This window comes from Homo sapiens, chromosome 4, assembly GCF_000001405.40.
Source record: "Homo sapiens chromosome 4, GRCh38.p14 Primary Assembly".
In the NCBI taxonomy this organism is placed as follows: Eukaryota; Metazoa; Chordata; class Mammalia; order Primates; family Hominidae; genus Homo; species Homo sapiens.
Window position 1 is genome coordinate 104,606,170 of NC_000004.12, and position 12,923 is coordinate 104,619,092.

At 36.6% G+C, this 12,923-nt stretch overlaps 2 long non-coding RNA genes across 2 annotated transcripts in view; one reads left to right on the forward strand and one right to left on the reverse strand.

Annotated features, from left to right (window-relative positions):
- The window catches only part of CXXC4-AS1 (CXXC4 antisense RNA 1), a 206,628-nt gene that overhangs the window by 115,205 nt on the left and 78,500 nt on the right, over positions 1 to 12,923 (forward strand). The gene's annotated exons all lie outside the window — the stretch shown is intronic.
- Positions 1 to 12,923, reverse strand: part of LOC124900745 (uncharacterized) — a 141,925-nt gene that overhangs the window by 92,155 nt on the left and 36,847 nt on the right. The window lies entirely within an intron of this gene.

Consider the following 12,923-nt stretch of genomic DNA (forward strand, 5'->3'; position numbering starts at 1 on the left):
GTCATCTGAGGCACACGTGGGCATGTCTCCTCATACGTAAATTGGCAGCAAGACAAAGGCCAAATGGGGTGGTAACTGAACCCAAAGGAGATGGTTTCATTTACCTGTATGGAACTGAGGCCCAGGTCAGCACACCTGCCACCTGGGCATAAGCCTGTTCTCTCAAAATGACCCTCTTAGGACTTGGGCCCTACCAGGGTTTTATAACCTCCTATGTGAATCTCAGCACTCCTACAGAGATGCTTTTGTCTATAAATGACTATGATAATATTGTTACTGTGAAGGGAAAGGAGTGAGGGAGTCTCTTATTCTGCCATCTTGCTCTGAGATAATTTATTTTAGCTTATTTTTAAATTAAAGTTTACATAAAGAATTTATAAGCAATGCTTTAATTTCAGAGAACTCCAATTAACCTATAATTTTCTCCGATTTTTGCTTGCCTAATTGCTAACTGTTAGGATAATAGTTTTCAGTATCATCTTATTTCATAGCTCTATACCCCAGGAAAGAATAATTCTCAGTGAAATTCTGTTCTCCTTTGAGAAGAGTAGGAACTTTCAGAAAGAGGATATACTATGTATTAGTCTATTTTGTGTTGATATAACAATATATCACAAACTGTGTAATTTAGAAGAACAGAAGTTTATTTCTCACAGTTCCGGGGGCTGGAAAGTCCAAGATCAAGGCATTGACAGGTTTGGTGTCTGGTAAGGGATTGGTCTTTGTTTCCAAGATGGTGCCTTGAACACTGCATCCTTCAGAGGAGAAGAACACTGTTCCTCACATGGCAGAAGTATAGAAGAGGCTGAACTCACTCTCTCAAGTTTTTTCTATAGTAGCATTAATTCATTCATTAGGATACAGCACTCATGAATTAAACACCTCATAGCAGGTCTCAATTCTCAACACTGTGGCATTGGGGATTAACTTTCAGCATGTGTTTTGGAGGGGACAAAAGCATTAAAATCATAGCATAGTATATATTTCATATTTAAGGTTAACCAACTCCTTTCACGTGCACACACAACCAGATTGGAAATAATTCCAAAACTCTTAAATTTATAAAGTTTCTTAAAAATATAGTTAGTCATCCAAACTTTAATATCAATGCAAACAATACATGTTGCTGAGAATACAGGTATTAGCTATTTATATTTCCGGAGAAGACTGAACAACTGACAAAGGAAGATACAGTAGCTATCTCCAACTATTTGAATGGCTGTCATGCTGCATCAGCCAGGGTTGCTAGTTGCAAGCAACAGAAATGGACTTTGAATAATTGAAACAGAAAAGCAAATTATGAAGGTTTTGGATAGCTCACAAAAGCCACAAAATCTGGCAAGGATGCAGAACCAAGCTTGGAAAGGCTTAGTAGTAGCCAGGATTTTATCCCAAATCATCCCACAAAACCAGTCCAATGAGCACACACTACTACCACCCCAGTGGACATCTGATCTCTCAGCTCGTGCTGCCCTCATCCTGGGGCTGAACTCTGAATACTATCACTGCTCTATTGTACTGCTATCCCTAGAAACACAACCCTACAACCTCTCTCTCCACTGTTTCCTGCTACAGTGCATAGTCTGTGGTGTGTCTTTTCTTGGGTGACCAGCACCAGATTTAAAGTTCAGAGCCACCACATCTGTTTGGTTGAGCTATGAAAGACTGAGAATAAATATTTCTGTCTGTGCCTCTCCCCAACCCCCTAAAAACCTCACAATTCAGTGAATTCTCTAAACACAGGAAGAGTTCAAATGTTGAACAGCCAAGAAAATATACAAAATATCCACTACATAAGTGGAAGAGAAAGCAGAGTTTATCTGAGTTGTTACAACAGAAAGGTGAACTAGAAAGTTAAATGTAAGAGGGTTGCAGATTTGAAAATAAGAAATTTTCTGCAGAATACACTTATTAAATAATAAAATAATTGCTCTAGAAAGTTGCAAACTCCTTGCTTCTACTGGACTTTAAGTGAATGCTGTATGACCATAAGAAAAGAGTACTGTAGAAAAAAAACTGCAGCTTAACTCAAAATGTCTATTATTCTATCTTTCTGTTGAGGTAGGGATTTTTGCCTCAGATTATGTTTTCTATGGGTTTCCACCACATTCTAAATTATGGTCAGATTGCAAATATATCTGGGTGCCCAGAATAGCCAGAGCGCCCCACCTTCTTGTGCATACTCAGTCAGCTTAGCAAACACCCAGCTGATCCCAGGCAGCTGAAGAAATCACAGTTTTTAAAGTCTGCTATGATATAGGAATGATTAGGAAGCTGATTCTATGGATGTGAAGGTCATTGTTTTTACAAACCTCATATATATTTATGTGGCATATATACACATATATAGATCTCCATCTCTCTATAATGCACATACATAATATATGACATGATATGTATGACATGTGAGATATATATGTACATATAATATTTCCTATTTAAAAGCAAAAGTGATAGTAAGGTAGATCTGCAAGCAGGTAGTATATATTAAAAATAATAACAATACAACAAATGGATCACCTATTGACATATATACAAAAAAGTGCAATCAGACCCCTGATTTATAGATGTTACTGACATCTGCTAGCATTTGTAATTACTTATGCTTCTGAAATTTATTAACAATAATAATGGCGCTGTTGATGTTAATAACATAGTTGTACTATTATCTGGTACTCTTTCAAGCGTCAAGTACACACATACCTTGAAGATATTGCAATTTAGTTTCACATTTTCACAATAAAGTTAATATTGCAAGAAAATGAATTGCATGAATATTTTGGTTACCTAATGCATATAAAATTTTTGTTTATATTAGTCTGAAACATATGCAATAGCATTATATGTTAAATAATGATATAGATATATCTTAATTTAAAAACACTATTTCTTAAAAAAATCTAACAATCATCCGAGCCTTCAGGGTGTCATAATATTTTTGCTGTTGGGTGGTCTTGCCACCACGTTTATGGTTGCAGACTGATCAGGGTGGTGGTTGCTTAAGGTTGGGGTGGCTGTGGCAATTTTATAAAATAAGACCAGACTGAAGTTTGTTACATTGATTACTTCTTCCTTTCATGAAAGATTTCAGTGTAGCTTGCAAAGAGCTGTTTGATACTATTTTACCCACAGTAGATCTGCTTTCCAAATTAGAGTCAACTCTCTCAAACACTGACTTGCCTTCTGAGCTAACTTTATGTAATATTCTAAATCCTTTGCTATAATTTCAACAATGTTCACAGCATCCTAACCATGAGAATATTCCTTCCCAAGAAACCATTTCTTTTTTGTTCATAACAAGCAACCCTTCCTACATTGAAGTTTTATTATGAGATTGTAGTGAACCAGTCACATATTTAGGCTCTGCTTCTAATTTTAGTTATCTTGCTAGTTTCATGCCATCTGCCGTTACTTCCCCCACTAAAGTCTTGAACCCCTCAAGGTAATCCATGAGTATAAAAATCGCTTCTTCCAAAATCTTGTTAATGTTGATATTTTGAATTCCTATAATGAATCAGAAATGTTCATTGTTTACATTTTAAAAATTTTGGAAGGTACATACTAGGTATATATATTTATGGGGCACATGAGACGTTTTAATACAGGCATACAATGTGTAATAATGACATCAGGGTAAATGGGGTATCAATACCTCAAACATTTATCCTTTGTGTTACAAACAAATTATACACTTTTAGTTATTTTTGAAATGTACAATTAAATTGTTATTGACTATAGCTGCCCTATTGGGCAATAAAATACTAGGTCTTATTCATAGTTTACAACTATTTTTTTGTACTCATTAGTAATCCCCACTTTCTCACTAAAAACCCCCATCACTATCAGCCTCTGGTAACCATCCTTCTACTCTCTATCTCCGTGATTTCAGTTCTTTTCAATTTTAATTCCCACAAATAAATAAGAACATGCAAAATTTGTCTTTCTGTGCCTGGCTTAGTTTACTTAGCATAATGACTGCCAGTTCCATCCATGTTGTTGCAAATGACACACTCTCATTCGTGTTTTTGGCTGATTAGTACACCATTGCATATATGTACCACATTGTTTAATCCATTCATCTGTTAACATACACTTAGGTTGCTTCCAAATCTTGGCTATAAGGAATAGTTCTGCAGTACACATGAGAGTGCAGATATCTCTTTGATATATTGATTTCTGTTCCTTTGCATGTATACCTAGTAGTTGGATTGCTGGATTTATGGTAGCTCTATTTTTAGTTATTTGAGGAATATCCAGACTGTTCTCCATAGTGGTTGTAATAATTTACATTTCCACCAATAGTGTGCAAGTGTTATCTTTTCTCCCCATCCATGCCAGCATTTGTTATTGCCTGTCTTTTGGGTAAAAACCATTTAAACAAATATCATTGTAGTTTTGATTTGCATTTTTCTGATATTAAATGATGCTGAGCATCTTTTCATATATCTGTTTGTCATTTGTATGCCTTTATTTAAGAAATGTCTATTAAGATCTTTTGTCCATTTTAAAATCAGGTTATTATATTTTTTCCTATAGAGTTGTTTGAGCTCCTTATATATTATGGTTATTAGTCCCTTATCATATGGGTAGTTTGCAAATATTTTCTCCCATTATGTGGATTCACTCTTCACTTTGTTGATTCCTTTGCTGTGCAAAAACTTTTTAACTCGATATGATCCCATTTGTCCACTTTTCTTTAGTTGTCTGTGCTTGTCGGGTATTACTCAAGAAATCTTTGCCTAGTTCAATATCCTGGAGAGTTTCACCAATGTATTTTTGTAATAGTTTCATAGTTTAAGGTCTTAAATTTAAGTCTTTCATTCATTTTAGTTTGATTTTTGTGTATGGCAAGAGATAGGGTTCTAGTTTCATTCTTCTGCATATGAATATCCAGTTTTCCCAGCACCATTTATTGAAGATACTGTCCTTTCTCCAATGTATGGTTTGGCACCTTTGTCAAAATGAGTTCATTGTAGACATTTGGATTTTTTTTTTCTGGAATCTCTATTCTATTCTGTTGACCTGTGTGTCTGTTTTTAGGTCAGTACTATGCCGTTTTGGTTACTATAGCTCTATAGTATAATTTGAAGTCAGGTAATGTGATTATTTCAACTTTGTTCTTTTTGCTTAGCATAGCTTTAGCTATTCTGGGTGCTTTGTGGTTCCTTATACATTTTGAGATTGATTTTTTTTTCTATTTCTGTGAACAATAGCATCTGTATTTTTATAGGGATTGTACTGAATTTGTAGATTGCTTTGGATAGTATGGACATTTTAACAATATTGATTCTTCCAATCCATGAACATGGAATATCTTTTTCATTTTTTGGTGTCCCCTTCAATTTCATACTTCAATGTTTTATAGTTTTCATTGCTGGAATCTTTAACTTTTTTAGTTAAGTTTATTCCTAGGTATATTATTTTATTTGTAGCTATTGTAAATGGGATTAGTCTCTTAAATTCTTTTTCAGATTGTTCAGTGTTGACATATAGAAGTGTTAGTGATTTTTATATGTTGATTTTTGTATCCAGCAACTTTACTAAATTTGTTTATCATTTTTAATAGTTTTATTGTGGAGTCTAGGTTTTTCCAAATATGAAATCATATCATCTGTAAACAAGGATAATTTGACAGCTTTCTTTCTAGTTTGGATGATTTTATTTTATTTTCTTGTCTGATTACTGTAGCTAGGACTTCAAGTACTATGTTGAATAACAGTGGTAAGAGCAGCATCCTTGTCATGTTCCTGATCTTAGAGGAAAGTCTTTCTGCTGCTCCCCGCACCCTGCCCCCAATTCAGTATGATTCTACCTGTGGGCCTGTAATATATGGCTTTTATTTATTTTATTTTATTTTATTTTTTTGAGATGGAGTCTTGCTCTGTCACCCAGGCTGGAGTGCAGTGGCACAATCTCGGCTCACTGCAAGCTCCGCCTCCCAGGTTCACGCCATTACCCTGCCTCAGCCTCCTGAGCAGCCAGGAACACAGCTGCGTGCCACCAAACCCAGCTAATTTTTTGTATTTTTTAGTAGAGATGGGGTTTCACCATGTTAGCCAGGATGGTCTCGATCTCCTGACCTCGTGATCCACCCGCCTTGGCCTCCCAAAGTGCTGGGATTACAGGTGTGAGCCACTGTGCCCGGCCCATATGGCTTTTATTATGTTGAAGTAGATTCTTTCTATACCAAGTTTTTTCAGGGGTTCATCATGAAGGGATGTTGAATTTTATCAAATGCTTTTAAGCTTCAAGAAAAATGATTATATAGTTTGTGTCTTTCATTCTGTTGCTATGGTGTATCACATTGATGGGTTTGTTTATGTTGAACCTTCTTGCACTCCTGGGATAAATCCCACTTGGTCATGGTGAATAAAATTTTTAATGTGTTGTTGAACTTGGTTTGCTAGTATTTTGTTGAGGATTTCTATATTAATATTCATTAGGGATATTGGCCTGTAGCTTTCTTTATTTGATGTGTCTTTTTCTGGTTTTGGTATCTGGCTAATATTGGCCTTATAGAAAAAGTTTGGAAGTACTCCCTCCTCCTCTATTCTCTGGAATAGTTTGAGTAGGACTGGTACTAGTTCTTCCTATATGTTTGGTAGAAATTGGCAATGAAGCCATCGGGTCCTGGGCTTTTCCTTGCTGGGAGACTTTTTATTATGACTTTGATCTGGTTACTTGTTATTAGTGTGTCTGGGTTATGAATTTCTTCACAATTCAATCTTGGTAGGTTGCTTGTGTCTAGGAATTTATCCATTTTCTCTAGATTTTCAAATTTATTGGCATATAGTTGTTCATAGTAGCCAGTAATGATCCTTTGAATTTCTGTGGTATCAGTTTTAATGTCTCCTTTTTTACCTCTGATTTTATTTATTTGGGTCCTCTCTCTTTTTTCATTAGTCTGGCTAAAGGTTTGTCACTTTGTTTATGTTTTCCAAAAAACCAACTTTTTGTTTCATTGATCTTTTGCATTGTTTTCTTCATTTCAATTTCATTTATTTCTGCTCTGATCTTTTTTTTTCTTCTACTAATTTTGGATTTGGTTTGCTCCTATTTTTCTAGTTTTTTAAGATGTATTATTAGGTTATTTATTTGAAGCTTTTCTTCATTTTTGATGTAGGCACTTATAGCTATAAAGTTCCCTGTTAGTACTGTTTTGCTGTGACTCATAAGTTTTGGCATATTGTTTCTTCATTATCATTTGTTTCAGTAAATATTTCAATTTCCTTCTTAATTTCTTCATTGACCACTGGTCATTCAGGAGCATATTGCTTAATTTTCATGTGTTTGTATGGTTTCCAAAATTCCTCTTGTTCTTGATTTCTAGTTTTATTCTATTGTAGTCAGAGAAGATGCTTGATATTATTTCAGGGTTTTTAAAAAAATGTTTTAAGCTTGTTTTGTGACCTAAAATATGGTCTGTCCTTGAGAATAATACATGTGCTGAGAAAAAGAATTTGTATTCTGCAGCTGTTAGATGAAATCTTTGGTAAATATCTATTAGGTCAATTAGGTCTATCTACAGTGCAGATAAAGTACAATTTTTTAATTGATTTTCTGTCTAGAAGACCTCTCCAGTGCTGAAAATGGGGTGTTGAAATCTCCAGTTATCATTGTAATGTTATCTATTTCTCTCTTTGGCACTAATAATATTTGATTTATGTATCTGGGTGCTCCAGGGTTGGGTGCATATATATTTACAAGTGTTTCATCTCCTTGCTCAATTCACCCTTTATCGTTATATAATGACCTTTTTGTCTCTTCTTATAGTTTTTGTCTTGAAATCTATTTTTTCTCTTCTTTTTTGGTTTCCATTGGCATGGAATATCCTTTTCCATCCCTTTATTTTAAGTCCATGTGTGTCTTCATTGGTGAAGCATGTATCTTGTAGCCAACAGATCACTGAGTCTTGCTTTTTATTCAATCAGCCGCTCTATGTCTTTTTACTGAGAATTTTAGTTCATTTACATTCAATGTTATTATTGATTAATATGAACTTACTTCTGCCATTTTGCTATTTGTTTTCTGGCTTTGTGGCCTTCTCTTCCTTCTTCCCATCCTTCTCTTTGTCCTTTTTGTGAAGATGATTTTCTCTGGTGGTATGATTTAATTTCTTGGTTTTTCTTTTTTGTTTATTGGTCGTATGTTTTTGATTTGAGATTACAATGAGGCTTGCAAATATAACTCATTATTTTAAGCTCATAACAAATTTAAACTGCTTGCATAAACAAACTAACAAGCAAAAAGAAAACTAATAAAAATTCTACACTTCAACTTTGCCCCCTACTTTTTAACTTTTTGTTTGTATTTATCTTATCGTATTGTCTATGTCTTGAAAAGTTGGCATAGTTCTTATTTTTGAGTGGTTCATCTTTTAGTCTTTCTACTTAAGATATGAGTAGTTTATCTACCGCAGAGTATTATAATAGTCTGTGTTTTTCTGTGTACTTGCTATTTATTACCAGTGAGTTTTGTACCTTCAAATGATTTCTTTTTTTCTGATTGAAGTACTCCCTTTAGCATTTCTTGCAGGACACATCTAGTGTGAGTGAAATTCCTCAGCTTTTGTTTGTCTGGGAAATTCTTCATTTCTCCTTAATGTTTGAAGGATATTTTCACCAGATATATTATTCTAGGATAAAAGATTTTTTCTTTCAGCACTTTAAGTATGTCACACCCCTCTTTCCTGGCCTGTAAGGTTTCCATTGAATAGTCTGCTACCAGACACATTGGAGCTCCATTGTGTTATTTGTTTCTTTTTTCTTGCTGCTTTTATAATCCTTTAATGGTTTATCTTTGGGAGTTTGATTATTAAATGCCTTGTGGTGATCTTCTTTATGTTAAATCTGTTTGGTGTTCTGTAACATTCTTATATTTGAATTTTGAAATTTTCTCTAGGTTTGGGAAGTTCCGTGATATTATCTTTTCGAATAAACTTTATACCCCTATCCATTTCTCTACTTTCTTCTTTAAGGCCAATAACTCTTAGATTTGCCCTTTTGAGGCTATATTCCAGATCTTGTAAGTGTGCTTCATTGTTTTTTATTATTTTTCATTTTATCTCCTCTGAGTGTGTATTTTCAAATAGCCTGTCTTCAAACTCAGAAATTCTTTCTTCTGCTTGATCAGTTCTGCCACTAAGAGACTCCAATGCATTCTTTAGTATGTCACTTGCATATTTCAGCTCCAGAATTTTTGCTTGATTCTTTTTAATTATTTCAATCATCTCTTTATTAAATTTCTTTGATAGAATTCTGATTTCCTTGTCTGTATTATGTTGAATTTCTTTAAGTTTCCTCAAAACAGCTATTTTGGATTGTCTGTCTGAAAGATCACATATTTCTCTTTCTCCAGAATTGGTCCCTTGTGCCTTATTTAATTTGTTTGGTAGGTGACAGTTTCCTGAATGGTGTTGATGCTTATGATTGTTCATCAATGTCTGGGAATTGAAGAGTTAGGTATTTATTTTAGTCTGTGCCGTCTGGGCATGTTTCTACCTGTCCTCCTTGGGAAGGCCTTCCAGGTATTTTAAAGGACTTGGGTGTTGTGATGTAAGCTGTTTCTGCATTAGGGACACCCCAAGCCCAGTAACACTGTGATTCTTGCATACTTGTAGAAGTACTACATTGGCAGCCTTGGATAAAATCTGGAGGAATCTTGTGGATTACCAGAGAGAGAGACTCATTCTCACTTTTTCTCCCAAACCAATGAAGTCTCTCTCTGTGTGCTGAGCCATGCAGAGCTGGGGGAGGGGTGACATGAGCATCCTGTGGCCACCGCCACTGGGGCTGTGCTGGATCAGAACTGAAGCCAGCACAGCACTGGGTCTCACCAAAAGCCCACTGTAACCACTACCTGGCTATTGTTTATGGTCACGTAAGGCCCTAGGGCTTCACAATCAGCAGGTGGCAAAGCCAGCCAAGTTTTTGTCCTGCCCTTCAGGGTGGCAAGTTCCTCCAGACCCTGGGCAGGTCCAGAGATACTGTCCAGGAGCCATGGAGTGGAATCAAAATACTTAGAAATCTACCTGATATTCTATTCTACTGCAGCTGAGCTGGTGCTCAAGCCACATGACACAGATCTGGCCACTCTTCTCTTCCTTTTCCAGAGGCAGAGGAGCTTCTCCCCATGGCTACCATCACTACTGGCCCATAGGGAGTACTGCCACTCTTGTGGCAAACTTCTCTTTATTTTTCCCTCCTCTCTCCTTAAGCAGAGTAAAGTCAGTTTTGTTGCTGTGAACTGTGCTGCCTGAGGTTGGGGGAGGGGTGGTGCAAGCACTCCCTCAATCTCTATGGCTGGTGTCTCACTGTCACATTCCCCCCAAGTACATTGGCTCTGAGCCCAGCACAGCCTTTGGACTTGCCTAGGAATTGTAGTCGTGTGGCCTACACTGCATTTCAAGTTTGTGTGTACTCCAGCACACGTTAGCCCATGGTGGTGAGGCTTGCTGAAACTGAGGTTCCGACTGCTAGGATTTGCTAGGATTGGCAATTCCTCTCTGGCGAGGGCTGGTTTAAATGCTCCGTCTGTGGGCAGGGATTGGCTGAGTTCGGCCAGTTTTGCTTTCTACTCTGACAGGGCAGCACTGAGTTGAATGCAAGGTCTCACAATCACTGCACTCTCTCTCCCCATAAGCACACAGATCCTCTCTCTGTGCCATGCAGTTGCTGCCAGGGGATGGGTGTTAGGAGGTGTTAGATGTTTAAGACTATTTTTTCTACCATCTTCAGTGCAGCAACATGAAGTTAAAGCCAGATACTGTGAGTGCTCACCTGATTTTTGGTTCTAATGAAAGTGCTTTTCCTGTGTAGATAGTTGTTAAATTTGTTGTTCCTGTGCTGGGTGGTGTGGGGGGTGATAGGTGGAAGCTTCTATTTGGCCATCCTGCTTTGTCTCACTCCCACAAATGGCATTTAGTATGGTGACTCTTTTCCATAAGGTTTTCAATTTACTTTGCCCACATTCATCACAAGAATCATTATGGCAACTATAGCCTTATAAAATGTATTTCTTAAATAACAGAACATGAAAGTCTAAATTATTCCTTGATCCATGGGCTACAAAATGGATATTGTCAATCACTAGTAAATATTGTGAATCTTTCTTTTTTTTTTTTTTTCTGAGCAGTAGGCCTCAATCGTGAGCTTAAATATTTAGCAAACTCTGCTGTAATCAGATGTGCCATCATTCAGGCTTTGTTGTTCTATTTATAGAGCACAAGAAGAGTAGAATTAGCATAATGTTTAAGGGCCCTAAAATTTTCAGAATGATAAACAAACACTGGCTTCAACTTGAAGTCACCAGCTGCATGAACTCCTAACTAGAGAGTCAGCCTGTCCTTAAAGCTCTGAAGCCAGGCACTGACTTTCCTCTCTAGCTATGAACGTCCTAGATTGGTCTTTTCCTCCAATAAAACACTGTTTTGTCTACATAAAAAAAAAAATCTATTGTTTAGCATATCCACCTTCATCAATTATCTTAGCTAGATCTTCTGGATAATTTGCTGCAGCTTCTACGTCAGCACTTGCTGCTCCACTTTGTACTTTCACGTTATGAGGATGGCTTCTTTCCTTAACCTTCATGAACCAACATTTTTTAGCCTCAAACTTTTCTTCTTCAGCTTCCTCACCTCTCTCTGCCTTCACAGAATTGAAGAGAGTTAGGGCCTTGCTCTGGATTAGGCTTTTGTTTAAGGGAATGTTTTGGATGGTTTGATTGTCCATCCAGATCACTCACACTTTCTTCATATCAGCAATAAGGTCGTTTCACTTTCTTACCATTTGTGTGTTTCCTGGAGTAGCACTTTTAATTTCTTTCAAGAACTTTTACTTTGAATTCACAATTTGGCTGTTTGGTACAAGAGGCCTAGCTTTCAGCCTATCTTGACTTTTCACAAGCCTTCTTCACTAAGCTTAATCATTTATAACTTTTAATTTAAGAAGGAATAGATGTGTGACTCTTCCTTTCACTCGACCACTTAGAAACCACTGTAGGTTTATTAATAGGCCTAACTTCAATATTGTTGTTTCTTAGTAAATGGGAAGGCCCAAGTAGGGGAGAGATGTGGAGGAAAGGCTACTTGGTGAAGAGGCAGAACACAGAAAACATCTGTCAACTAAATTTGCCATCTTATGTGAACACAGTCCATGCTGCTCCAAAATAATTATAATAGTCACATCAAATATCAGTGATCACAGATCACCATATCAGATATAACAATAATGAAAAGTTTGAAATGTTACAACAATTACCAAAATGTGACAGAGATATGAGGTGAGTACATGCCATTGAAAACAAAAAAGATACCAATAGACTTGCTTAATGCAGAGTTGCCACAAACCTTCAATTTGTAGTAAATGCAGTATCTGTGAAGTATAATAAGGTGAAGCACAATAAGATGAGGCATGCCTCTATATCATCTAATTTAGTCATCTCCAGAACAAAATGAGTTTGTTGTCTTCACTAACAGATGAAGATACTGAGCTTTGAAGCTGTTCCATATGTTGACCAACCCTGCAGTGCTGGCTGTGCTAGAACCAGGGATGGAACCAAGGCCCATCTGACTCTAATATCCCTGCTGTTAGTGACTTTCTCCCTGCTCACTGACATTCTGGCGTCTTCCCTGAAAACTATGTCCTAGCCTTTCTGCTCTTGTTTCTGGGCCACCATTAGCTGCTCTATTTCTTCGTGTATAATTTTAATGTGTTCAAAGCATTTACACTGTCCACATGCTTATACCCACAGAGTAAGTAAACATCTAGTCTTAGAGCTATTATTTAGGTTTTTGCACAAATTTCTCCCAATGGAAAACAGTGCAGCACACCTCCCTATAATGCTGGAAAGGCAGCTAGGCTCTAGATTCTCATAGTCAGATATCCGTTATATGCAGCATAATCCACACATGATGCAGATGCAAC